At 53.0% G+C, this 26030-nt stretch overlaps 1 protein-coding gene across 16 annotated transcripts in view, besides 12 other annotated features; it reads left to right on the forward strand.

The window, feature by feature from the left end:
- Positions 775 to 1698: an enhancer, noted in NCBI's record as "H3K27ac-H3K4me1 hESC enhancer chr2:74210413-74211336 (GRCh37/hg19 assembly coordinates)". NCBI's record gives its function as "activates a minimal SCP1, AML or CMV promoter by ChIP-STARR-seq in naive H9 embryonic stem cells {active_cell/tissue: H9 hESC(naive)}" and the evidence as "EXISTENCE:reporter gene assay evidence [ECO:0000049][PMID:30033119]".
- TET3 (tet methylcytosine dioxygenase 3) overlaps positions 1120 to 26030 on the forward strand; it is a 151868-nt gene continuing 126957 nt past the window's right edge. For 3 of the 16 annotated variants that reach the window (XM_011532687.3, NM_001366022.1, XM_047443664.1), the window contains exons 1-2: positions 20181 to 20290; positions 20599 to 20655. In XM_011532687.3, coding sequence (XP_011530989.1) covers positions 20267 to 20290; positions 20599 to 20655 — 81 coding nt within the window. In that variant the 5' untranslated portion in view covers positions 20181 to 20266. Of the gene's footprint in view, positions 1876 to 2398; positions 2647 to 2745; positions 2767 to 3074; positions 4196 to 20180; positions 20291 to 20598; positions 20656 to 26030 lie in introns of those variants that run through there. The other 13 variants (XM_011532683.3, XM_047443659.1, XM_011532682.3 and 10 more) reach the window with 10 other exon arrangements.
- Positions 1872 to 2561: a silencer, noted in NCBI's record as "silent region_11647". NCBI's record gives its function as "represses an Ori minimal core promoter by ATAC-STARR-seq in GM12878 lymphoblastoid cells {active_cell/tissue: GM12878}" and the evidence as "EXISTENCE:reporter gene assay evidence [ECO:0000049][PMID:35858748]".
- Positions 2320 to 2518: a silencer, noted in NCBI's record as "fragment chr2:74211958-74212156 (GRCh37/hg19 assembly coordinates)". NCBI's record gives its function as "represses an EF-1alpha promoter that drives an FKBP-Casp9 reporter gene in an ReSE screen in K562 erythroleukemia cells {active_cell/tissue: K562}" and the evidence as "EXISTENCE:reporter gene assay evidence [ECO:0000049][PMID:32094911]".
- Positions 2942 to 3111: a silencer, noted in NCBI's record as "silent region_11648". NCBI's record gives its function as "represses an Ori minimal core promoter by ATAC-STARR-seq in GM12878 lymphoblastoid cells {active_cell/tissue: GM12878}" and the evidence as "EXISTENCE:reporter gene assay evidence [ECO:0000049][PMID:35858748]".
- Positions 3592 to 3821: an enhancer, noted in NCBI's record as "active region_16038". NCBI's record gives its function as "activates an Ori minimal core promoter by ATAC-STARR-seq in GM12878 lymphoblastoid cells {active_cell/tissue: GM12878}" and the evidence as "EXISTENCE:reporter gene assay evidence [ECO:0000049][PMID:35858748]".
- Positions 11641 to 11830: an enhancer, noted in NCBI's record as "active region_16039". NCBI's record gives its function as "activates an Ori minimal core promoter by ATAC-STARR-seq in GM12878 lymphoblastoid cells {active_cell/tissue: GM12878}" and the evidence as "EXISTENCE:reporter gene assay evidence [ECO:0000049][PMID:35858748]".
- Positions 11891 to 11980: an enhancer, noted in NCBI's record as "active region_16040". NCBI's record gives its function as "activates an Ori minimal core promoter by ATAC-STARR-seq in GM12878 lymphoblastoid cells {active_cell/tissue: GM12878}" and the evidence as "EXISTENCE:reporter gene assay evidence [ECO:0000049][PMID:35858748]".
- Positions 13166 to 13235: an enhancer, noted in NCBI's record as "active region_16041". NCBI's record gives its function as "activates an Ori minimal core promoter by ATAC-STARR-seq in GM12878 lymphoblastoid cells {active_cell/tissue: GM12878}" and the evidence as "EXISTENCE:reporter gene assay evidence [ECO:0000049][PMID:35858748]".
- Positions 16661 to 16760: a silencer, noted in NCBI's record as "silent region_11649". NCBI's record gives its function as "represses an Ori minimal core promoter by ATAC-STARR-seq in GM12878 lymphoblastoid cells {active_cell/tissue: GM12878}" and the evidence as "EXISTENCE:reporter gene assay evidence [ECO:0000049][PMID:35858748]".
- Positions 19834 to 20373: a silencer, noted in NCBI's record as "silent region_11650". NCBI's record gives its function as "represses an Ori minimal core promoter by ATAC-STARR-seq in GM12878 lymphoblastoid cells {active_cell/tissue: GM12878}" and the evidence as "EXISTENCE:reporter gene assay evidence [ECO:0000049][PMID:35858748]".
- Positions 21174 to 21690: an enhancer, noted in NCBI's record as "H3K4me1 hESC enhancer chr2:74230812-74231328 (GRCh37/hg19 assembly coordinates)". NCBI's record gives its function as "activates a minimal SCP1, AML or CMV promoter by ChIP-STARR-seq in naive H9 embryonic stem cells {active_cell/tissue: H9 hESC(naive)}" and the evidence as "EXISTENCE:reporter gene assay evidence [ECO:0000049][PMID:30033119]".
- Positions 21691 to 22206: an enhancer, noted in NCBI's record as "H3K4me1 hESC enhancer chr2:74231329-74231844 (GRCh37/hg19 assembly coordinates)". NCBI's record gives its function as "activates a minimal SCP1, AML or CMV promoter by ChIP-STARR-seq in naive H9 embryonic stem cells {active_cell/tissue: H9 hESC(naive)}" and the evidence as "EXISTENCE:reporter gene assay evidence [ECO:0000049][PMID:30033119]".

Here is a 26030-nt window from a genome sequence, read left to right on the forward strand (position 1 = left end):
CAGCCTTTCCCTCTCACACTCCATATCCACCCTGGATGAGCTCCTCCACAACTGAGGCCTCGCTGTCTGCTCACTGATGGGGCCCAAATCTCAAACCCAGGCCTCACCCCCTCAGTTGCACACTCACTTTCACACGAATGTCTCCATCCCCAGGCATCCTTCCTTCTGCATTTTGTCACAGTGAATGGCACCAGCATTCACCCAGTTACCTAAACGAGAGGGCTTTATGAAATGACCCTCTCATAGATTGCTGGCAAAGAGTAAATGACACAGTAACTTGCTGGTGCCATTTACCCAGACAGAATACAAGAGGATGGCTGCTGGGCTCCTCTGAAAGTCCACAACTTACTAGCTGAGTGATCCTGGGCAAGTTATTTAATCTGTTTTCTTATCCATAAAATGGGTTTGATGATAGTACCTACCTCACAAGGTTGTCATATGGATTAAACAATATTAGTTGTTGTCATTCATTGAGCCCTATATTAAGTCTTTTACTTGGATTCCCTTGAAGATGGAGTACCTAGTCCAAGGTCACACTGTTACCAAGTGGCAGATTCAGGTTTGGAAGCCAGAGTTCTCTGGCTCCTGAGCCATCTTCTTCACCTCACTGTCACACTTTCTGAAAACTGTATACCAAACAGGGAAATGCCTATGGTACAATGTTAAGTTAAAAGAGGATGGCAAATTGTATAATCAGTGTGAGTAAATCCACAAATAGGAAAGGCTACAAGGAAATATAGCAAATGGTTAAATATGGTTGTAATTTGGTGATTTTTCCCCTCTAGTATCTGTAGTCTCCACGTCTTCTTTATACACATTTTTTATTAATAAAGTTGCTTATTAAAAATATATTACATTAAAAACAATTACGAGTCTGCAACCTGTTCCCCTGTTTGAAAATTGCACTCTCTTGGTTTTTCGTCTCGGTTCTAGTCTTACTACCCTGAACAGAAACTCTTCAGTCCTCCCAAAGGCCATGGTAGGAAGTGGATATTGCAGCCATGTTCACCCCCACCCACTCCCTCGCTGACAACCTGGACCCTGGAGCAGGCTGTCAAAATCAGAGGGAAGTTCCAGATAGAACCCGGGCTGCTTTACCGCCTAGGGCTTTCTGGACAGCGCTACTTCAGATCAGTTACTTTTTTTTCTTTCTTTCTAAATAGCCGGCCGAATGCTCTTTTTCCAGTTCTGGCTAAGCTGTTAGCTGCAGCCGGGCGGCGACGCCTGCCAGGTACCTGGCTCCGTGAGCACCGCCCAAACTGGTCAGGCCAGTCCGTCCTGTGGCTGTTTCTGCCAGGACTCGCCCGAGTGTGTGTGTGCGCGTGTATGTCAGAGACCCACCCTGCTCCCCTGCAACCGAGGTAGGTGGAAGGCAGTTGCAGGCACCAGCCTGGCAGTCAGGCCAGATGGGTGGGGCTGAATTAATCTAACCTGGAATTTCAACTTGGCCTGCACAACAGGTGAGGGAAAAAAGCAGCAGAGAGAACGGGCAGTTTGGCAACTTGGAAATATTCCTGAGCCCTGCCCCTTACCCCCTGCCTGGAACGTAGCCCAGGGTGACTCTTCAAAGTGTCTGCGCCGGGTTTTAGGGCTTAGTCGCCCCACGGCCCCCTCGAGGCTGTCCGAGGCCCTCCTGAACGCTGTCCTCCTCAGTTACCCTCCGCGACGCGCCCGTTCCCCCTCCTCTGGGAGGCAGGGCGGGGGTATCGGATTAGTCTTTGTTTTCGACGCGAAAGAATCGAGCGCGGCGCGGGGGAGGCTGGTGATGGCAGGGCCGTGGGGTCCACCTGGACAGGGCATTCGGCCGTGACCCCTGCGAGGGTGCCCTTAGCCTCTGCCCCCGAGCAACCCCTTCTTGCCGGCCAGGCTGACTCGGTACGCAAACGCGCGATGTCCCCCATTGTCCTGCCTCGGAATGAGCCAGCGGCAGCTGGGACAGGGGGGTCAGTCGGGCCCGGCGCTCAGGCCTCCCGGGGGCGCCGGGGCTGTCCCGGACAGATCTGGCCCGCAGGGAGTGGCAGGAAGTGGGGACACCGAGCGAGGCTCGGCCGAGGGCCTAGGCTGGAAGGTCCGCGTGCCCCACCCCGCCTCGCCGGCCCCGGCTGCAGCCCCGCCGGAGGGCGAGGGTGGCCAACCCGAAGGGGGCGGCCGCCTCCCGGGAGGGCCGACCGCGTGGGTGGGAGCCACTGCAGGTGCAGAGAAGCGGCGGCCGGGCCGGAGCCTGCCCCAAGCCGCTCGCAGGCCGCCCACCCGACCCCTCCCCTCCGCGGGAACCACCCCCCTCTCGCCCGGCCCGGGGCCCGGCCGGGCCGGCGGGGCTCGGCGGGGCCGCACGTGTGCGCCCTCCCGGGCGGGGGAGTCCCCGGGCGAGCACGTGCCGCGGTGCGCGGGGGGCGGGGAGTCCCGCGGACGCCTTCATTGCTGCTGCTGCTGCCGCCGCGGCCGCCGCTGCCTCTTCCTTCCTCCTGCGCCGTCCCCTCCTCGGCCCGGGCGGGGGGCTCCGCGCGCTGAGCTCGGTCGGGCCGGGCGCTCCGGGAGGCGGGAGCCCCAGGCGGCGGCGGCGGCGGCCGCGACGGTGGTGGCGGCGGCGGCGCGGGCCGGGAAACTTTGCCCCTTTGTGCGCTCCGCCCCGGAGGCGGCGGGCAGGTCGGTGCAGTCGGTGCCTTTCCGGCTCCGGAGTGGGGGAGGGGCGGCGGGAGGCGCGGGGGGCCCGGCCCGGGGGAGGGGGAGGGGACGGCCCGGATCCGGCGGGGGGCCGCTCCTCCGGTGCGGGGGGCCGGACTGGGGTGCTGCGGGGCGCTGTGCGGCTGAGCCGGGCGGGGGTGGCGGGGCGGGGGCGGGGGCTGCGAAGCCGCCGGAGCGGAGTGGCGGAGGCCCCAGAACAAAGGAGCCCGAGCGGCGGCGCGCGCGCGGCCCGGCCCGCGGCTCGAGCGCGCCCCCCTCCCCGCGCCCCTCGGCGGCGCGGGCCGCCCTCCCCAGTCGGGCTGGCGGGCTGCGCTCCGGCGGCGGGCGCGGCGGGCGCGGGCTGCCCAGGGCGCGCCCCCACCTCCAGGCGGCTTCCGTGCCGGGGGCGCCGGGGCAGTCCCGCCGAGCGAGGCTCTCAGCAAACTTTATTTTGAAAGCTCAGCTCCCTAGGGAGGGCCCGGCGGCCTCCAGCCAGGGCGTGTGGGGGAATTTTGGTGAAACTCTCACCAGCCCGTGGGGGTGGGGAAGAGGGCAACTTTCTTAGAAATCTCACCTTGATCACCCCCTTGAATCCAGGGCCCCCAGCAGCCCTCAGGCCCGAGGCCGCCTCCCTCAGACAGGGAGCGGGTGCTGGGTGCGTCCTGCCTGAGGTTCTGGGCAGGACCTCAATTGAGCAAGCCCCATCTCTTCCCCCATTTTCTCTTCCCAGAAACAGGAAGAAGTGACACGTGAAAGTTGTCCCTGAGCCCCGAGTGATGCGCTTCCCCTTTCTGTCTTTTTCAGGCAGCACTGCCTTCTCCAGCGTCCAGACCCTGGAGGAAAAATACCAGGAGAAACTGCTCACTCAGCTCTGCCCCCACCACACCCCTACCTGCTCAACTCATGCCTGGGTCCAGGGTGGGTGAGGGTGAAGAACCCACCGGGCCAAGATGATCCCTTTTCTGAGGGCTGCTGCTGGTGTCCTCCCCCAGATCCTGGGCCCCAGCAGGTGGGAGAGTGGCCCCCTACGGAGTCCGATCAGACTGCTGCAGAGGAGGTGAAGAGGGGTTGAGAAGAGGCATCCATCCACGAGACTGAAGCCACTTGCCTTCACCCTTGTAGACTCTTGACTGTTCTAGGCGAGAAGGACCTGTTGGTGGCCTTTGGAGGTGGCAGGAAACGACTGTGGTTCTGCCCCAGCACCTATGACCCCACCTCTGGCAGCATCATGAGCCAGTTTCAGGTGCCCCTGGCCGTCCAGCCGGACCTGCCAGGCCTTTATGACTTCCCTCAGCGCCAGGTGATGGTAGGGAGCTTCCCGGGGTCTGGGCTCTCCATGGCTGGGAGTGAGTCCCAACTCCGAGGGGGTGGAGATGGTCGAAAGAAACGGAAACGGTGTGGTACTTGTGAGCCCTGCCGGCGGCTGGAAAACTGTGGCGCTTGCACTAGCTGTACCAACCGCCGCACGCACCAGATCTGCAAACTGCGAAAATGTGAGGTGCTGAAGAAAAAAGTAGGGCTTCTCAAGGAGGTAAGCCGGCCCTTGCTGGGCTACCCTGTTCCTTCCTCGAGGGCACGGTGATCACGGGGGTCTTGTTCAAGCAAGGCTCGTCCAGTTGAGTCCATTCTCTCATTTCTGATCCTCTTGGTCCAACTTTAAGTAGGAGTGTAACTGACATGTTTGGACTCCTTTGCAGGGCTGACAATTTGTATGAGTAACTGGGTAGAAGGGGGATCTGAGCTAGCACCCTCATCTCTGATGTTTGCATTTGAGGCGGGACTGTGATGTCTACCTTTACCTCTAGAAGTTTCTTGTCCTGCTGCTTGAAGCCTCAGATGTTGTATTTCAAGCTCATGCTAATGCTTGGATGACTTGGTCAGTGAGGGTGTAAGATAAGAGATGGAGGCTGATGGATTTGGAGACAAAGTTTTGGATTGACAGGGTGGTTTTATGATGCCCTGATGGAGTGGGATGTTTCTTTCATCGTTTTTCTCAGATGGCCAGAGAGCCAGTTGAAACTGTTGGGGAATCTAGTGACGAACTGATGTTTTGGGTTCCCCTATCTTAGTTCTTCTTGCGGTCAAAAACTTTATTTCTGTGTTCTCGGGACCTGGCACAATTCCTTGGCAGGTAGTAGGCACTCAGATACTAATTGCATGAATGGATGACATGCTTTTGAGACACTGTCAACCCCAGGGAGGTGTACTCCCTTTATTTGGGGTAGTAGGGTGGAGGAGGGAAGGAGATTTGGGGTGAGAGCAGGCAGGGTGGGAAGGAATGGGAGAGACCATGACCTTGCATTGGCCGTCTTTCCCTCCCATTATAGTGGCGGACTGCCGGCTTGAGGTTGGTGACAGCCGCGACAGCAGAGAGTTGGCAGAAGTAGGGCTGAGCGAAGTTGAGCAGCTTAGGAGGAGCGGTGTAGCCGCTGAGGTCGCTCCAGGCAGTAGAACTGGCGCTGGACAGAGACGGAGGCCTGCGCTGTCTTCGAGCTCCCCCTGGCTCTGCCATTCATTTGTCCAAGGGCCCAGACAACTCGGGCCCCCTCTCTGGGCCTGTCTTTTCCTTGGGGGAAGTGGAAGAGTTGTACTTGATGGCTTTCAAAGCCTCTTCCAGCTGGGCTGGGAGCTGCTTGCTTCTGAGGACTCGGGTCCCTGTGGCTGGCGTTGGGCTGGCAGCCCGTGCTCTGGGTTTCCCTGACCGCTGAGTGCAGAGCCTCACAGCGAGCTGGTGGGGCTGGTCCCGTGGCTAGGAAGAAAGATTCAAGTGTTGAGGACAGGGACATGGGGTTGCTGGATATTTCTGCCCCTTCTCACCTTGTCTTGTCCGTGCCTTGTGGAAGCTGTATGTCCTGACCCAGGGACTGCAGACTCGGGGCCCTGTTTCCCTTGTTTCTGGTTAAAGCAGACATCTGGATCACATATGCAGCCCCCAGCCCCAGCCTGGGAGACTTCTCTGTTGCTGGTGTTGGGGGTAGTTATCGTCCTGCTGGCCCAGTGCCCCATGGGTCGCTACTGAAAGCAGGGTGTTATGAAGCGGGGGAGGCTTTACTTCTGGATGTAAGAGCTGGTGCTTTGGTGTAGGGAGGAGCTGCTGAGTCTACTTTGCAAAGCTTGATTCCTTTGCGCCTTTCCTTCTAGCATTCCTTTTCTTCCCCAGCCCCCATTATCTTACTCGGTTCCTCCCATAATTAAACGGGAGGAATGAGGATGCTGAGCTTCCTGGGCTAGATGTTCTTGGAAGCAGTGGCCCTTGTGAACTAAGTTGAAGTGCTGCTTTTGGCAACAACAGAACATACCTGAGTGAAAGGGGCTGGGAGTGAGGCCAGGACCTTGTCATCCTGTGTGTAAGCTGTCGGCCCAGGCTGCCGGGTGGTCTTGGTTAAGATATCATGGATCTGGGGTGGCTGAGGCTTAGAGACACCCCTGCTGAGAGATGTCTGCATCCCTGTTGACCTTGCCATGGCCAACTGCCTCTCTAAGCCCCAGGGTCAGGTAAGGTGAGGCTGGACAGCCTTGGGTGTCCGAGGACAGAGGGTCTACATGCTGATCTGTGGAGTTCTCTGTTTCTAGAGAAACAAAAGGGGACAGTGGAATGAGTTTTTTCGTAAAGCTAACTTTCTGTGACTCAAAGAGCAGTACTTTTTTTCTAAGGATAGGTCCTTTCTACTTCTCGATGTTTAAAATACGCTTTCTTAAAATGTGCTTTATGAAGTGAAGGTGTAATAGAAATTAGACCTTTTTTTTTTTTTTTAAGTCTTAGCTTGGTAAAATACAAAATGGTAACCAGTGCCTCTCTCTGAAAAAAAAAAAAGTTTTTTTTGTTTTTTTTTTTTTTTGGTCCATGAAGGCTGAATGCCAGAGAGTCACTGTCTAGGGTATACCACATTTAACGGGCATATCTGTGGCATAATTAATTGAAAAGCTGAGATGTTCCTGAGAGACTGCCAGGGTGGATGAGACCCCAAGACCAGCCCAGCATTTAGCAGATGCTGGGGACTGCTGGGACCATAACCATTAGATCTTAGCAGCCGTGTGGCAGAGGGAACATGTCCCGGGATTGGGGAGGCTGTTTTGGCTGTGACTGTTCAGGTGGGGCGGGACGCAGTATCCTAGGATCCTCTCGGACATCAGACCATTTACCTGCATTCCTGCTGTGTGGTACTTCCTCCTCTCTGTGAGAGTGCTGTGCTCCTCTGGGCACTCTTCCTTACTTCCCTTCTGTCTCCATCTCTCGTAGCTGACTTTGGGGCTTCCTTTGAATTGTCTGCTTGCAGTTACTTTATATCATCCTGTAAGGAGGAGATTATCTTGGGTTTTCCATCTTCTTTCCCTGCTCCTCACTCTTTTTCTCTGGGCTTTGTCGGTGGGGAGAAGGGTGCAGGGGAATCCCTCAGAAAAGAAGTTCAGCATTTTAGGGCTAGAGACAGGTCCCCCAGGGATGGGCCTTCCTGCCCTAGGAGGCGGTGACTACTTCTCTGGGTCCTAATGTGAGGTTGGGGCAGGTTGGTAGTAGCTGTGGTCTTCCTTCCTAGTTCCAGGAAGACTTTAGAGGAGGTTGTTTGATTTCATATTCTTTTTACCTGAGTGGTGGCTTGGTAGTACAATGAAGATGACTGAGTAGAAAAGTAGGGTTTGGTGAGTAAGGAAGCACAGTGGATAGGGCTGAGAACCCAGAGTAAGTGCTGTGCCCTTACTCTCTTGGGCAACCAGTGCTCCATCCCTTCTGTGTCCATTTTCTCAATTGTAAGATGGGAGTAACCCTGCTTTGTAGGGTTGTCATGAGGATTAAATGAGATAAAATATGCATAATGTCTGGCACATAGTAGGTAATCAATGCATGATGACAAAACATTCCTAAACATCTAGAAAATGATGAATCTTTATGCATAAACAACTGTGCATTAGTCTTCGAGCTGTAAAGATGCAATACAAGGGCTAGGTATGGTGGCTTACTCCTGTAATCCCAGAGCTTTGGGAGGCTGAGGCAGGATGATCACTTGAGACCAGGCTGGGCAACATAGCAAGACCCCATTGCTAAAAAAAAAAAAAAATTAGCCAGGCATGGTGGCATGTGCCTGTAGTCCTAGCTCCTGGAAAGACTGAGGTGGGAGAATCGCCTGAGCCCACAGTGGGCAATATTTGAGCCACTGCACTCCAGCCTGCATACAACTCCAGATGCAATACAAATTAAGCGTTTATCTCAAGGCATTCACCTCACTTGCTCATAGAAGAACCGTGGGGCAGAACAGTAGAGCCAGGCAGAGGGAGGGAGGAGTTTGCCAGCCTCTGTGCTGGGGGAGGAGGCTAGACACCAAGGAGTCACTATGGTCCTAGGCCTGACTGAAAAGTTGACCATGGATGAGGGAAGTAAATAACTATTAGAGTAGGAGAATGACCCTTAAAAAAATGCATAGAAAAATGTATGCATAAGTTTGGAAGCATGACTGAGAATATTATGGGTGAAAATGAGAGAAATGGAAAGATATATGTGATGAGAATACTTTCTAGCCCTCAGCCAACTGGATTTACATCTTGAAACAGATCTCTGCCAGATTTGAGTCAAGATACCTTGGAATTGGGAATCTTTCAACAATATCAGAACACCTGATGAATCCTTGCCCATCCTGCTGGTAGTTCTATCTTCCTGAAGATGGAGGCTGTGGAGAGGAATGTGTTCAGGCTGGTCTCAGCATCAAAGGGAGAATTGACTAGAGAAGTGGAAGTGATGAGAATCTTTAGAGAAAGGGACCGCATCTGAGCATTTGTCAAGCCTGAAAGAAGGTTGGACAGGGAGGAGTGTTTGTATTTTTAGTAGAGATGGGGTTTCACCATGTTGGCCAGGCTGGTGTTGAACTCCTGACCTCAGGTGATCCACCCACCTTGGCCTCCCAAAGTGCTGGGATTACAGGCGTGAGTCACCGTGCCCGGCCCTTGGTGTTTTTTTAAATAGAGACAGGGTCTCGCTATTTTGCCCAGGCTGGTCTTGAACTGGTGAATTACAATTTTTATGGATAGTCTTTAGAATATCGTCTTTCAAATGCAAGCGGTTTTTAACTCCACGGCCACAGATTCTAAATGAAAATTAGCTGGAGGGATAGAATTGCTTGTTAAAAAGCAAACTCTGGCCGGGCACGGTGGCTCACGCTTGTAATCCCAGCACTTTGGGAGACCAAGGCAGGCAGATCACCTGAGGTCAGGAATTCGAGACCAGCCTGACCAACATGGAGAAACCCCATCTCTACTAAAAATACAAAATTAGCCAGGCGTGGTGGTGGGTGCCTGTAATCCCAGCTCCTGAGGATTGGACAGATGAGAAGTCCAGTTTTTGACTTAAAGTCATCTTAGAGGGAGGCCACTGATACGACTGCCCTGTTCAGTCTGTCAACCATGTAGATCAGGGGTTCCACATTGGGATCACCTGGGAAATGTAGCAAAACATGGTGCCTGGGCCCCACTCCCAAGGGATTCTGATTTAATTGATCCAGGGTGGACCAAACTGGTCTGGGGCTCCCAGGTGTACCTAGGCTGAGGCAGGAGAATCCCTTGAACCCAGGAGGCAGAGGTTGCAGTGAGCTGAAATTGCGCCATTGCACTCCAACCTGGGCAACAAGAGTGAAACTCTGTCTCAAAAAAAAAAAAAAAAAAAAAAAGAAGGAAACGCTGATAGAACAGTCATGAATGATAGCTTCAGGAGAAAGGTGTTGGTGGGACTGGGGAAGGACTGAGCCATCTGTGTGGCTGTATGGGCTGTTCTCTAGTGAGTGAGGGGGTAAAAGGCCAAGCACATTATGTGGAAAGTGGGGACATGGCACTGAAGCAGAGTCAGGAGTGTGGTCTGAGCCCCTAAGAGGAGCATCAGGGAGTCCAGTGGCCAGAATGTGCTAAGGCTGGTGGAAAATGCTGATAACAATGTCTTGTATATGGTTCTAGCAAGAGTGAGAGGGAAGAGGTAGGCTTACAACTTTCTAGGGATGGAGAGAGTGGACAGACACTGGGTCCCTGTGGTGTCAGAAGATATAACCTGGGGAAAACAGAGCCAGCCAGCTACCCTACCTGAGTCTGAGTCATTCACTTCCTACTGAACACCTGCAGATGTGATTGCAAAATCACAATCTTTTTTTCTTTTCTTTTTTTTTTTTGTTTTGTTTTGTTTGAGATGGAGTCTCGCTCTGTTACCCAGGCTGGACTGCAATGGCGTGATCTTAGCTCACTGCAACTTCCACCTCCCCGGTTCAAGCGATTCTCCTGCCTCAGCCTCCCGAGTAGCTGGGATTACAGGCATGTGCCATCACGCCTGGCTAATTTTTGTTTTTTTAGTAGAGAAGGGGGTTCACCATGTTCGCCAGGCTGGTGTTGAACTCCTGACCTCAGGTGATCTGCCCACCTTGGCCTCCGAAAGTGCTGGGATTACAGGCGTGAGCCACTGTGCCCGGCCCTTGTTGTTTTTTTAAATAGAGACAGAGTGTCGCTATTTTGCCCAGCCTGGTGAACTCATGGTGAATTACAATTTTTATGGAATTATGATGATTGAAAGAGGGCCAAAAAACCAGAGATGGGCTAAAAGTCCAATTTCTCAAAGAGATTTTGAAAATTGTAAATATATAATCTTAATGTCAGTTTTTGAGAGTTCTAGAACAGATTGTTTAAAAGGTGTTTTGTGAAACTTTAGAAAGGCAGGTGATAAACTTTGAGGGTGCTTGTGGTTCTTTTCAAAGCAGCTGAGGCAAATGAACAGATCTAGATTTCTGTAAATAAATGATGGCATCTCCTGCCAGCTTGGACAGATGAGAAGTCCAGTTTTTGACTTAAAGTCATCTTAGAGAGGGAGGCCACTGATATGACTGCCCTGTTCAGTCTGTCAGCCATGTAGATCAGGGGTTCCACATTGGGATCACCTGGGAAACGTAGCAAAACATGGTGCCTGGGCCCCACTCCCAAGGGATTCTGATTTAATTGATCCAGGGTGGACCAAACTGGTCTGGGGCTCCCAGGTGTACCTAATGTGTAGTTAGCATGGAAACCCTCTGATGCAGGTGAGAGACTGTGAGGTGATGGGCACCTACCTGGACTATTCTATGGCAAATTGCTCACCTGAGTCCTGAGACACCTGTATGTTCCACAGCCTCACTTCCACCTTGCTGCTCAGTGGACCAGCAGCATTGGCATCACCTGCAAGTTTGATAGAACTGCAGAATGTCCAGCCCTACCCCAGACCTGCTGAATTGAAATCTGCACTTTAACCAGATCCCCAGGTGATTTGTATGTCCATGAAAGTTTGAGGAGCTGTCTACAACATCTCTATGACCAGAAGGGAATGGGACACGGAGCCAGTGGGGTGGAGGGCGGGGGCAGTGACAAATAAGCTGTGATGAACAGGCAAAGAATTCCAAGTGCCAGCAGGGTAAAGAGGATGACCCAACCCATTTCCTGACCCTCTAAGCCGGGGAGACAAGGACCTCTTGAGATTTACTGCATGTTTCTGCTTGTTCTTCTGGCATTTGTTTCCTTGTAGTTTAGTGAGTTATCAGTAAAACCTATCAATAAAACTGATCTACAAAGTTATCAGAGAACTTGTGAATTTGTTCTGACAACAGTCAGGAAAGGGCTCTCAGAAGATGTTTGCTGCTCAGCAGCCTGATTCAGGAGGTTGGAGCTCCATGACCCAGTAGTAGATGGTGGTGGTTGTGCAGAGGAAGGGGTGTGTCCATAGAATCTTAGGTCTCATGGAACAATCTGGAAGCTTATGGAGCAGAATCGATGTGTGCCCTTTTCACAAGATGAAGTAGTAGGCGAGTCAGATCTGTGGGTGTGGTGGGTAGGTGGGTGGCAGTGATGATGCAGTTATTACGTTGCATGATAGAACAAGGGGCTAAGGAGGTTGGGGCAGTCAGGTACAGTGAGTCCCAGTAAGACTCAATGGGATTTAATCAGGGCAAGTACAAAGGCCTGTACTTGTTTTAAAAAAGAAATGTACGAACTCTGGCTTCCTAGCAGGTAGGAATAACTGAAACTCTAAAAAAGAATGTTGACAGTCTGTCTTGAAATCTGTCAGAGTGGTCACATGCAGGACAGTTGAAGGAAGCAGGGCTGTTCAGCTGCTGATGAGTAGAGGAACACAGGCTCAGGCAAAGCTTGTATGAAGAAGAGGTCAGTTCCCTCACTGGAGGGAGTATGCAGGAGTTTTATTAGTGGGTGAAAGTTATTAGACAGACTGAACCCACATTAGAAAAAAGAATTGTCTAGCATTTATGACTATTCCAGTACTGAGGAACTAGCCCTGAGAGGTCCTGTGTGACCAGTGCCTGCACGAGTCTGGGTGCTGCCTAACAGGGAAGTTATGAGGATGTCCTCTGGGTTGCGGGAAGGTTGGGAGGGAGATTCACATTTGGTGGTCTCTTGCTAAGATTATGTGAAGTATATTATCAGGTCTATTTTTTTTCTTTCTTTCTTTCTTTCTTTCTTTTTTTTTTTTTTTTTTGATACGGAGTCTCGCTGTGTCCCCCAGGCTGGAGTGCAGTGGTATGATCTCGGCTCACTCACCCTCTGCCTCCCAGGTTCGAGCAATTTTCCTGCCTCATTCTCCTAGGTAGCTGAGATTACAGGCACGTGTCACCGTGCCTGGCTTATTTTGTATTTTTAGTAGAGACAGGGTTTCACCATGTTGGCCAGGCTGGTCTCGAACTCCTGACCTCAGGTGATCCACTCGCCTTAGCCTCCCAAAGCACTGGGATTACAGGCATGAGCCACTGTCCTGGCCTATCAGGTCTATTTTCATGTTTCTTTTTTTTTGTCTGTTTGTTTTGACGGAGTCTTGCTCTGTTGCCCAGGCTGGAGTACAGTGGCGTGATCTCAGCTCACTGCAACCTCTGCCTCATGGTTCAAGTGATTCTCCTGCCTCAGCCTCCCAGGTAGCTGGGACTGCAGGCATACACCACCACGTCTGGCTAATTTTTGTATTTTTAGTAGAGACGGGGTTTTACCATGTTGGCCAGTCTGATCTTGAACTCCTGACCTCAGGCGATCCGCCTACCTTGGCCTCCCAAAGTGCTGAGATTATAGGCGTGAGCCACTGTGCCTGGCCTGTTTGCATGTTTTTTAGATGACTACATGCAAGAGAGGCATCTATCTTAGACTGCAGTATTTTGGTCAACTTTTAGACTTAATCTTAGACCTAGACCTAATCTCAGACCTCAGTTGGGGTAAGGTCTGTGAACTGTTTTGAAAATTTCAGCCAAATGTTATGTGAATGTGCAGGGGTGTGTTTTCTCAGGGGAGAGGATCCGTGGTTTTTAGCAGATTGTCAAGAGTATTCAGGACCTCCCCAGATTTAAGAAGCGTGCCCTACCTGAGCCCTCTAATATAGTTGCCATCGGCCACAGGTAGCTATTTAAATTTAAATTAGTTAAGATTAAATTCAGTGACTCAGTCATACTGGTCGACTTTCAAATGCTTATTAGCCACATGTGGCTAGTGGCTTGTGGCTCATGTATTGGACGGTGCAGATAGCATTTCTGCCATCACAGGAGGTTCTGTAGGACAGTGCTGGGAGCCAGCCTTAGAGTGACCCTGTGTGGTCCCTGAACCCTCACCAAGGGCTCTTTTTAGGTTGGGGAAATAGCTGTCTGAATTGGCAGCTCTCAGGGTTTGAGATCCCAGCCCCCACACCCAAGGTAAGTGGTGAGGTCTCTGGACAGAACTTTCCTGGATTCTAACCCACTGCCCAGTCCACTGCTTCTCCTTGAAGGCACGGCCATGCTTTACTTGTCGCTATGGGAGAGCACAGGGACAGGAGTGAGGTGGTGTGCGCCACCCAGAGGCTCTCTGTGGGTCCCTAGTGGGGAAAATGACTCCTCCCCACCTACAGTCTTGGTCAGCAGCCCCACTGAGCTGTGTTCATGTTGACTTCCAGCTCCAACCTTATCTCCTGGGTCCTGCCAGAGTTGTCCTCTCTGTTGTGGGTTTTCTTGTTCTGGAAAAGGCAGTGTGGTGACTGGGCGGGCCGGAAGACCAGGTCCAGGGTCTCAGGAGTTGTCACTAATTTCCCACTCCATTCCCCTTCACTCCGTTACAGCTCCTTTTTGGAATGAGGGGACGATGCTCAGGAAGAGAGGAGGTATTGGAAAGGAAAGAGACCCCTTCATCTTCTTTTTTAGCCCTGCTCAACCTGGCTGGCTATTTCTGGGAGGGCCCTTTAGAGTTGCTGTGGGCCTCTGCCTATGTCTGTGCAGGGCATAGGCACTGCACAGACAGTTGCCACACCCAGGGTGGACAAATCCCATGGTGGCCTTGTCTGCTGTCATTTGCATAGGAAATCTGATAACCTAAGATTTTTTTTTATTTTTTATTTTGAGACAGAGTCTTGCTCTGTCCCCCAAGTTGGAGTGCAATGGCATGATCTTGGCTCACTGCTACCTCCAATCCTGGATTTGAGCGATTCTCGTGCCTTAGCCTCCTGAGTAGCTGGGATTACAGGCATGCACCACCACACCTGAATAATTTTTGTATTTTTAGTAGAGACAGGGTTTCGCCATGTTGGCCAGGCTGGTCTTGAACTCCTGGACCTCAGGTGATCTGCCTGCCTCGGCCTCCCAAAGTGCTGGGATTACAGGCATGAGCCACCATGACCGGCTTGATAACCTAAGTTTTTATTAACCACTGAGGGAGGGATCGAAAAGAAGGCCGGCAGCCCATTGTGGGATAACTGGCTGACCTTCAGGTGGCCACAGGTATGGGGGTTTGTTGCCTGCTTGCTTCAGGTAGCACCAGCATGCAGCTGGGGCACTGTTGATGGCTGTTCCTGCACTGCTGGCTGTGACTGGTACGAATTCTAGCTCTGTTGTGTCCTACCTCTACCACACCTAACGAGGGTGTTAGTGGACAAAATAAGGCATCTCTGACTGCTGCTAGAGCAGCAATTCCAGATTCTCAGAATGGATGGGAAGTTGCATTGGATGGAATTATTTGGTGGTATTGGCCAGACTGTGGGTCCCCCATGCCTCCTGCCCCTCCTAATTACTGCTGGGTGGGGGAAGTCTCAGGAAATGAGTACGGAGATGCTGGGTCAAAAAGAAGTAACAAAATATTAGACTAGAGTCTGCTCCACTGCTGAGTTTTTCTTCTGGGGAGGACATGGGTGGCTCTTTCCTGTCTTATTTTTTATTGATTGATCTGCCGTTTAAGGTAAGCTCTGTGTGCCCCAGTTCCCTTAATGATGCTGGGAATGATCCTGAAGCCCTAGAAGAGAGAGGGACGGCAGACTCTTACTGTGAGGGCTGGGTCCTGCCTGTACTATGTTCATGCTGCAGGATGGGGTGAGGTGCAGTGAGGGGAGAGGGGGTTGTGAGGGCCAGTGGGAGAAGAGCTGGTGCCAGGAGGACAAGGAGAGAGAGACACCTTCCTGGTGTATCCTGGGTCCCAGGATCTACAAGGTCCCTTGTACTGGAGGCAGCCAGCCCCTCTCTCTGGTGCTGCTTCAGTTTCCCGAGGCAGGACATCATCTGCTTTGACCTATAGACAGGCAGGTGGCCCTCCTGGCCCCATTCAGCAAACCTCGCCTGGGACTAGCTCTTTGCTGGGTGCCATACTGAGTCTGAGCGGTGGGTAAAGGTAGGCACATTAACTCTGTGTGTCCTTAATGATCTTGCTGTCTGGGGAGGGAGACAAGCATGGAAACAAATAACTACAGTACATTCTGATAGGGCTAAAAGGGAGGGATGCCTTGAGGGCAGAGACTGGCCTTAGTCACCTTTGGGCCCATAGAGGCCAGCCAGGAAGGGAAGGAACATGTCTTGAGAGTGTAGTGACATGTGAAGGATGAGGAGGAGAAGGACTTCCAGGAGGGGGAAGCACCTCCCTGATCTTGCAGTGTGTAGAGATGCTACTTGATGCTGGCGGCAGGGGTGTGGAAGGATGAGGACAGATTGCTGGGTACCGCGTGAGAATCCTAGAGGTGGAAGGTCAGACGCTTTGTGTTAATTCCTCTTGGAAGTCTTCTGCTGGGGCTGTCCCCGGGTTTCTAGCTCAGCATTCGTGCCCCACCTTCTCAACAGCATCATACAGTCCGTTGTTATTTGCTTAGGTCCTTGGAACATTTGATGGTTCAAGGCTGTTGAATTTGGGGCGAGGAGACCCTGACAAGGTTCACAGACTATAAGACCTTTTCACGAGCATCTCAAAGGGCATGTAGGGTATAGGCAGAGTGTCACCTATCAGCCTGGGAGGCCCTGGATGCATGCTGTTTGCTGGTAGGAAGCACGAAGATGGAGTTGTTGGCTGGCTCCGACTTGTTTCCCTCCAGTGTTGCTGGGTGCCTTGGTTCAGTCTGGTTCTGCCGCATCTCCAAGGAGAGAAGCATCTTTTCTTCTTCTGTTGCTGCTGCTGCTGCTCCACCTCCTCAGCCTCCTCCTCCCTGTGATTGTCGTTGACACAGACTTCCGCTGCCAAAGCTAATTGTGAGGCCTGATCAGTGAATGAAGGCAAAGGCAGTTCCCATGACAACCGTAAAGAGTTTCAAATATAGGGGATGATGTGTGTGTGATGGGCGGCAATTACTTGGGTGGAAATTGATGCGTGGACACCGGGGACTTCAAACATAGGCTCTGAAGGTGGAGGGGGTGTTGGGTTTTTTTTTGGCAGGATCCTTTGTGTGATGAAGAGAAAAGGAGGTCACAGACTTCCCTCATAGTCAATTCCAAGTGCCTTCAGTGTGTGGAACGTAGGCATAGCCCTGCAGGGGCTTTGGAGAGGCACAACTCCAGTCATTCTGGTTGGGAATGCAGGACACACAGAGAGACAGACAACAGTACCAGGGGTCAGATGAGAAATGTTAGAAGCGCCGTTGGTTGGCAGAAGACTGGTATAATCAGAGAAGGCTTCCTGGAGGAAGCAGGGCTTAAACAGAGCTTTGAAGTAAAGCCCTGTGAAGAGTGACCTCATTCAGGACACAGCCATGGTGAGGGAGGATGAGAAGCCTGTCTCCCTCTACCCTCTACCAGCTCTAGAAGAGGTAGGTGGATATGAAAATCGTAGAGCAACACAGAGCAGCCTTGGCTGTGCTGCTGCAAGTGAGGGGGTGGCAAGAACCCTGTGCATTCATTTTCTGGCTGTGTGACCTTGGGCAAGATACTTAGCCTGTCTGTATCCCAATTCTTCGTCTGTAAAATGGGCACAAATATTTCCTGTCTCATTGGTTTGTTTAGAGAGTTAAAAAAGATACAGTATATCATGCTCTATGGGGCCTGACATGGGGTTGGTGCTTGCTTGATTTCTTGTAAATTCCCCCAAGAATGTGTCTGGTTGTGTCTGTGTTCCTTCGTCTTTGAATATCTGTGTGGAATCTGACCTGTGGGTATCCATGTTCCTGAGGTTCTCAGTGTTAGGGCATTTTGTGTGTCCTGAAAGCGAGTAAATCCATTCACCTCTCCAGTGGGGAGGGCTGTGGCTCCATTCCTCCTGCTGGGAGCACAGTAGGGTCTGGGGGTTGTGATAGAAGATGGGGAGGGGAGGGACCCTTGGCCCCTATGCAGAGGGGTTCCAAGTACCTGTGAGTGATCGCTGTGAAGTGCAAAATTTAGAAAAGGGGGCAGATAGAGATGGGAGGAGGATCAAGAGGGGAGCGGAGAGCATACCGGCTGGAGGCAGAGTGGCCCTGGCATGCACCTCTGTGACTCCCTTGAGCCCCGGCATTCCACGAGTCTCAGAAGAGGGAATGAGGCCAGGGTGAGATGGGGATGGGAGCAGATGGACTGCCTGGGGGACTATGGGCTCCTCCTCTGGGCTACTTCTCTGGTGTAGCCGAGGGCTGCTGGAAGGCAGGGTGGGGACCTGTGTTTGGGGTAGGGCTGAATTACCACCGGGAGATGAGTGGAGCCAGGAGTTGGGATGGGAACTTTGCTCTGTGGCTCCTTCAGGCTGCTGAGGAAGATAGGTGCTGGTTGAGCAAGTCTGGGAGTAGATCACAGTTCAGTTCTGGCAGGTCCTGCCCTCCCAGGACAGCGGGTGTCTCTCAGATCCTTGAGGACCTCAGGGAGAAGGCTGACCAGAAGAGGGGCCTCCACTTCTCAGTGCCCAGCCCCCTGCCTCTCCACCCTCCTTGTGTAGAAACTTGGCTCAGCACATTCCAGCTCTGTGCAGAGCCTAGGAAAGTAGGGAAGACAGGGCCCCCGCCCACGTGGGAGGACTGCCGTGTAAATAAATAACTGCACTTTATTGTGACTGGTGCTGTGGAAGAGGCAGTACACTGCTCTGTCAGGACCCGGGAGGAGCAGATGATGCTCATGGGAGCTTGGTGATCTGAGAAACTGGCAGGGGGAGGCAATGTTTAAACTAAGTCTTGTACCACATTAGCTTGCCAGGTCGGGGGAGGTGCGGAGGGATCCAGGCAGAAGGAGCAGCACCGGGAAGTCTCTGAGGCATGAAAACATTACTAGATCCATAGCTTAAAGGGAAGTGATTGGGTTCAAGTGACCTCGGTCTTCTTTGTATCTCCCTGGGGTTGGCAGAGACAGACAGAACTTAGAGAATTGGAAAGAGAAGGACCTAGATTTGAATTCTAGCCCACCACTCACCAGCTGTGTTGACAGGCAAGTAAGTTAACATCGCGAAGTCCTTCCGTTGCCCTGTTAGAGATGAGCTTGTATGGGGAGTAAGTCAAATGAGATGATCCTACAACATGGTTGGCACAGGGCCTGGCATGTAGCAGGGGTTTGATAAACTGTGGCAGCCGCTGCAGCAACCGTACTAGTTGTTCCTTTCCAAGCATTGTTTGTCTCTCCTATCCAGCAGCAGACTGTATGGGGGGTAGGTGTGAGGGCAGGGGTTTTGGGGACCAGGATAAAGGAGGGACTCCACTTGGCCTGGTCATTGTCAAAGTTGAGGGGCACAGAAACCCATTGTTCCACCTGAGCTGTGCTTAGGACACTGTTCCTTGTCATGCTTTGCCACCTGCCTCCCTCCCTGCCCTGTGTTCCCAGGGGGAGGCAGGTATGGGCCCTGATGCCTCCTGGAGTCTCCTCACTGGAGGCCAGCTTTGCTGTCTTTCCAAAGGCCGCTCATCCTGTTCTGAGTACCCCCTTTGGGCCCCCGGGGAGGGGACAGCAATTAGGCATCTGTGGTGTAGTGGGTAGGAGAGCGAATCACTGGGTCAGGGGCTCTCAAACATCCTAATTAATCCTGTGAGTCACTTCTCCCTGGCCTCAGCTTATTCATCTGTGAGAATGAGAAGGAGCACCCAGTGAGCTCTTCCAGAAATTGATTCACCTGCAGTGAATCCTCACAACTGGATGAGGTAGCTGCTATTTGTAGTTCAGTTTTATAAGATGAGCAAAGAGAGGCTACGAGAGGTAAGTTACAACCAGCTAGGTAGTGATGGAGCCTGGAGTTTGTGGGTACCAAAGTGTGTGGAAGTCGCTTCCTGGGAGGTAGAAGCTCTGGGGTGCTCAGCTACAGGGAGGGATTGGGGTAGGGAACGATGTGCCCTGGGTGGCCCAGGAAGTAAATCTAGGAGTGGATTGCAGGGTCTGCCTCTCCCCTCTCTGTTCTTTCTCATCCTGCCCTCCTTTCAGTCTTCTGATGCAGCTTTCAAAGGCTGAGTCTGGAAACTGGAAGACCGGAGCTCTTGGGGTCTGGGCTACCTCCCCTCCTCTGCCTTTCCAGGAGATGGGAAGCCCTGAGGTCTGGGGACCCTTGGGGTCTTGGGGGTTACCTCCTGTAGCCTAAGAGTGGAGAACCCATTGTGGGGTGTTGGTGGGGAGGCTGTCTTGGATGGGTATGTTCTGGCGGGGCTGGGGGGTGATCCTAGAGTGAGGTGTGGGTGTTTGTGTGTGTGGAGGAGGGCAGGGTTGACACAGGAGGTGTGGGCTCCGAGGAGCCTGTTTTCTGAGGTGGGCGCTGGAGCAGGGAGGAGCAGAGAGCTTGCATAGCTGTTAAGAGTATGGTCTTCAGAGCCGACAGACCTGGCTCAGAGTCCCGGCTCTGCTGTTTCCTAGCCGCATCACCTTGGGTAAGTTGTTTCACTTATTTTATCACCTCATTTGCAGAATGGAGTAAAGGTTCGTGCTGCCTGGGCTTTTTCTTCTTTTTTGAGGATGAAGGGGCTATTGCACCTCATGCCCTTGTGACAGGGCCCGGTGCCGTCCCAGCTGCTGCCAGGATGATGCTGGGGTTAGAGAGTGGCGAAGCGGGAATCCCCCCCCACCCCCCCGGCGTCTGCTCCGCTCCGCTCCACCCGGAGGCGCAGTCTGTCATCTTTGATCCTGGAGGCGCAGAGGACGCCTTCTGGGTATTACCTTCGGGGTCCCCGCGGGAGGAGGCCGGGGGTGCCCTGGGATGCCCCAGCCTGCCGGGGAGCGGCACGGCGGGCCTGGGAAGCAGCCAGCGCGGCTCAGCAGCACCCTCGGCTGCGCCCCCGCCTCCCGGCTGGGCAGGTCCACCAGGCGGGGGCAGGGCCGGCCGCGGGGATTGGCTGGCGAGCGCGCCGCCCCCTCGCACACCAGCCCCGCGGCGGGGAGGGGAGCGCAGCCGGCAGCTGGCCGCCGCCTCCTCTGCAGTGCCTCCCTCCGTGCGCTCCCTCCGGCGGGGATAATGGGAGGCCCGCCGGCCGATGCACCAGAGGAGGCCGGCCGAGGTAGAGCGCGCGGGGCCGGGGATGGCCGGGCGGACGCGGGCCGGGGGTCGCCGTCCTCTCGGATCTCGGGGGGATTCTCAGAGGAGAAATGAAAACAAAAACACACTGGAAGGCGGGGGAGCCTGTCTGCCGTGATCCAGGCGGCAGCTGGAGGCAGGAAGATGGTCCCAGATAGCCTTTCTTTCCCAGGCTGTATCCCCTCCCGTTCGCCTTCTTCCCCTCCGGCCGGGCTGGGGGCTGTAGCAGGAGGACTTTGCTGCCTTCCTGGTACCCGCCTGGCTCACACGTTCCTCTGGCTTCTTTTGCAGGTGGAAATAAAGGCTGGTGAAGGAGCCGGGCCGTGGGGACAAGGAGCGGCTGTCAAGGTACCTTGTGTGTGTGCGTGCGTGTGTGTGCGTGTGTGTGGTGGCGGTGAAGTGTTTGACCGGATTGGATAAAAATAAAGGGTCTCCTCTGGTGATCCCTTAATCTCCCACTGTGTGTGTAGCAGCAGCTGAGGGGGAGGGGCGGCGGGGGTGTGGGCGGCCAATGAATTCTCAGGCCTGTGTGGGTTTTGTTTGGATTCTTTTTGCTTTCTCAGCTGGATGGTTTTGGGTGCAGTTGGGGCTTGGTTTGTTGAACTGTTTTTTTTTTTTTTTTCTTTTTAAGACATGCAACCCACTCCCCACCCCTGCCTCTGGAAATCTCTCGAGAATGTCCCTGGCACTGTTGGTTTGCATCCAATCTGCAGAAATCCCGGGGGGGACGGTGTGCGGGGAGGGGGGGTGGGGGGGCGTAAGAGGGAGGGAGAATTGCGCTCCTGAGTCTGAAGCTGATAGGATGTCATTAGTCATGCTGCTGTCACCATGGAGATGGCTGGAGAGGAGAGGAGGTGGTGGGGGTGAGGATATTTTGGGTAGGGTGGGGGCTGATGCAACATCATGACTGGGAATCCGGCGGGCGTCTGCTGTTACTCTGTGTGACTTGGTGTCTAGGGGACTGGGAAGAGAGTGTTCCCAGGTGCGTGGGAAGCAGAGAAGGGGGCACTGAGCTTCTCCTTGTGGTTGTCTGGGGGGCGGGGAGCTGGGGTGTTTGAGACAGGGGAGGGGAGAGTCCAGTAGAGTATCAGCCATTACTAGGAAACCACAGATATTCCTCCCACGTTGGCATGGACCCGATCAGTAGGTTTCCTTGAGCTTGTCCCCCTTTTCAGGGCTAAGGAGCCACTGTGAGTTTGGGATTACTCAGCAGTATCCTCTGCTGGCCCAGGGCGGAGAAAACAGATTGGGAGGTGGCTCTGTGTGGCTGCCTCTGAAGTCCAAGAGCAGAGAGGCTGGAAGGGAGCATGGGGCAGGTGGGCAGGGTCAGGGCTCATGGAACTCTTCCTAGCGGAGAGGAAGCGCGTTCCTGCCCCTGCCTCAGCCCACCTGCCCCCTCAGCCGCTGGAGTCTTCAGGGAGCTGGGGATCTTGGTTGCTTGGGTAGCAGGTGGGTGAGCTGCAAGTGTCCCCAGATACCCTTAGTTTCCTCCCTGGAAATTCTCTTCCCGCCCCCTGGGAAAGCTGTGGGAAGCTCCATGGAGGTGCTGGAAGTGGCATCCTGCCACCTTACTGACTGGATATGGATGCTGGTAGGGAGGGGCTCTGCTTCCCACGTGGGGGATAGGGACTTCTAGGTGAGGCTGCAGGGTGTATCAGGAGGCCTAGATAGTTCCCTGGCTTTGTCCCAAGGAACTTGAGGCAAGTAAGTGCTTGGGGAAGGGTGTGAATTTTGCTTCTGGAGCAGCTTCTGGGAAGGAGAAGAGCCAGGGGGCATCGGCTTCCCCGTCTAGCGGGTGTGCTTTAGTGAGACTGGGAGTAGTGGATGATCACCTGGGATGAGGCGGTGGGAGGCTGGGAGGTGACAGAGGGCAGTTGATACGGGCGATACTGTGGGTGGGGAGGAGAGAGCTGAGCTCACCTCAAGTTGGCTCTCACTACACACTCTTTTCTACAGCCTTCTCTGGAGCAGAACCCCCAGGTTCCACCTCTGCTTCCTCCCCTCGCCTCCCGCTGCTGGCTGGAGGAGTTGTAATCACCTCATGTGCTGTTGGAGGGGTGTGGGCACAGAGATCGTAGAGTAGATCTGCTCTGTCTCCCAGCCTGGGGAAAGCAGGCCAACGGGATGAGGACAGATGGACTCAGGGAGGGGGCAGGCCCCTCTCTCCTCTGTATCTCCAGCCTTGTCAGCCTAGAGCTTCCCTCTCTGCTGGGAGAAAGGACGGGCTGGCAGGTTTGTTTACTCCCGAAAGCACCCCCTTCCGCTGTAGTGATGGCTCTCCCTGGCAGACCCGCTTCTCTTCAGCTCTTTCCAAGTGTGTTCTCCGTGTCTCCCTGCCTGCTGGCCCCAGATAGAGGCTGGTTTTCCGCAGTCCTGCTGGAAGCTCCCAGCCTAATGCCCCAGCCTTAGTGTTGTGGACATGTGGCAGGGGCTACTTGAAAATCCAGAGGAAGCCTTCCTAACAAGTCTTTCTCCTTCCGCCTTCTCAGAGTAGGGCCTGAGCTGGCTGAGTTTTTAAAACTCTGAGGTTGTATCTATGCTTGTTTTTATTGTTCAGTTGTCTGAGAATCATATGCAGCTCAGGCACTGCCAGCAAACACTCAGGTCTGAGTCTTCTGTCCCTGGTGCCACCTTCACACATAGAGTTTCCTTGGGTGGCCAGTTGGCTGCAGTGTCCCACATACCCAGGGTGAGGCAGTTTTGCCAGAGGCCCTTCCATTTTCAGGTCGTGGTGTAAGAAGGATATGTCTGATGTGTGAGCTCATCTTGGTCTGGTGTGAGATCAGACCAAGACCCTGGGACACGGGACACGGGGGTGTCACGAGATGGGTGCTGGCTGAGGAAGCCCCATGGGAGAATGGTATCTGGTAGCCAGTGGGAATAGACACATATACGATGTGCTAAGTCCTGCCAGGGTTTCAGGAATACCTATGATGTACGTATGAGTCCACATAGTGCCTAGCATAGGCACAGAGTTGAGCTTGATAAACGCAAGTTGACATTTTATTGTTTGGTGCATTACATGTCTACCCGTGATATCTCAAGGAACATGCTATAGCAGACACTGTTGCTACCACCTCCTCGTTGGCAGCCTGGAGAGGAGTGAGTGCCCAGTGCCGAGAACACCGGGCCGCCCTGCTTTCAAGGCTCCCACACGGCTCCCACACTCTGCCCCATGGGAACCCTTGACTGGCTGAGGATGTCTGGAAACTATTTTGGGATTGTGCCCAGGATCTCTGCCTTCTGTCTCTCCTTTTGACCACTGCAAAAAAAAAATGCCCTGTTCTCAAGGACCTGTGATCCTCGACTTTCTATACACTCTGGGTCCTTCCCACTACTTGTTTCTTGCCTGCTCTTCCTACTTCCAGCCACTTCTCTCTCGGGTATGTTTATAAGCAGCAGCCAGCTTGGGAAGATATGGAAGCAGGTGAGCATGTCAAACTAGAGAAGTGAAGGAACTAAGCAAGAGATTTTCAGAGTTGAGTTTGAGGATGGAGAGAAAGAGGGGGCTTTCCCCATCCATGATAAGAACTGGAGTTAGAGTCCCAGAGCTCAGCTCCATCTCCTTGGTGACCCTCACCCTTTTTGAATGTCATGGGAGAGGGAGAGAGCCTTGCAAGACATACACATGAGTGAGCTGAAGGGAGAGCCCTCCTGTCCACAGTGGTGCAGGGGCCCTGGACCTGCCCTCAGGGACCACCGTGGGGACGACTACAGCCCTTTTGCTGGGCCTGGTGAGGAGGGGCCTGGGCACTGGGCTCCCTCCAGCTGCAGATGGAGGTTTCTGCTAGAAATGGGCTTTGTGGTCTTGCCAAGTCCCCTCCCATACCCCGGAGGCTGCAGCAAATGGTTTGGCTGGATGGGGGTGGGGGCAGGGAGTATGGGAGGGGCTACGGTTTGGCTCAGCTTTTGGGTCTCACAATCCTCTTAAGTCCTCTTTCCTACCCTTGACCTCTTGGGCTTTCGGCCTCATTTCCTCTCACACCCGGGCATCTGGCAGTTAGCTGAGGACTCCCCCTTGTTCTCAGCGTCTCTACAGCTTCAGAGAAGGAGATACATTAGGAAGCCTTTAGGCAAATAGAAGGCAGGGAAAACTTGGAGGATTAAAATCTGTAGATTAGTGTATTCTCTAGGACTATTACCCCCATCTCTATCTATTTTCTCCCCCTTTCTTCTTCCCTTTGTCTTTCAACATCCACCAAGTATTTATCATGTTCTAGGTACAGCATTAGGTCCTGAAAAATAAGAGAAATCATTATTATTTGATTCTCACAAAACCATTGGAAGTAAGAGACATTGACTAAACTATTACCTGAAATTATAACTCTTGAGTGGGAAAGCCAGCACTGGAAGCTTTTGTGTTTTGTATATTGAATGCTTTTGACTTCAGCGTTGTGTTTGGGGCTGTGAACTTGCACATGGCAGACAGAATCCTCACCCCAGATGCACCCAGCACTTTACATTTGCTTTCTCTCTGGCTCAGAGAACCTCAAGGGACTTCGAAGGTTGACTCAACATGCCAAGTTTGTTTTCAATTAAGTCATTGTTTCCCGGATCTAGCAATGACAGAGGAGGGCAGTGGGGTCAGAAATGGGCTAGCTGGGAAGGGAGCTTAGTTTTGAAAGGCACATGTTGGCATTAGATGTTTCGGATTTGAGATTCTGAAAGCTGGATGGAAATACTGTGCCTGAGCAATCTACCATGAACCTGAAATTGCCTTAGACTCATTTAGAGTGTGGGCCCCGCAGCCCTTACTGCTTCAGGGGGCTTCAGTGAGACCCACTGACTGAGAGGAGGAGGGTGAGAAGTGCAGTTGTTAGTTTCCTTCCACTCTGTTTTCTACTCTACTCCTACTCCTGGGTTCTGTCATTAGCCATGGGGAGGTCACTTACTGTCTTTGGACTTCAGCTTTCTGGGTAAAGTGAGGGGATTGCCTTCCAAAGTTAAGTTTTTCTCAGACTAAATCTGGGGAAGGACCAGTTTTTTTGTTTGTTTGTTTTTTGTTTTTCAGTGTTCCCAAAAGATTGCAAAACTAAAACGTGGTCCCACTTACTTTGTACAGCGAGTTTGCAGCTGCTGCACGTGTGGCTCAGCACCATCCAAAGTGGTCTGTGAGCCATTCAGTGAGGCGAGCCAAGTGATCATGCCCTTGGATGTCATGGTAGCTTTAAATTGCTATAAAGGTTCCTAAAGGCTTCCTCTTGGTTCCTGTATTTATGTTGTGGTGGATTGGTGTTAAGCAGTTTACGGGCCATATCCTGAATAGCACTGCTTTTGAACTTTTATCTGGGACAGCATAGGGTCTCTGTTTTGATGCCTCCCCACCCCTTCTGGACATGACTTTTCCACTCTTCTATACCCTCCATCTTGGGGACAAAGCCTCCGCTTGAAAGAGTAGAGATCTTTTTGTCCCATAAGTTCTCTGAGTGCCCCAAAAGATTTACTTGCATCTCAGCTTCTGTAGATAAGGATGCCTCCTGCCTTCTCTTTCACTTCTGCAAGTCTGGGAGTCTGATGGAGGCCCGTCAGAGCCCTTGGAGCCCCTGTACTGTGTGTGTGTGAATTGCATGCCTTGGAGGAAGAGAACAGTTGGGGAGGAAGCCAAGTCTCCTGTAGATGCTGGTGTGGACTTGGACCCTGCAAGAGACTAAAGCTCCATTGCCACAGGCAGGGCACCTTGAATTTTGAGCTTATTCCATGCAGTGTTTGTTAATAACCTAGAG

This window comes from Homo sapiens, chromosome 2, assembly GCF_000001405.40.
Source record: "Homo sapiens chromosome 2, GRCh38.p14 Primary Assembly".
NCBI lineage: Eukaryota > Metazoa > Chordata > Mammalia > Primates > Hominidae > Homo > Homo sapiens.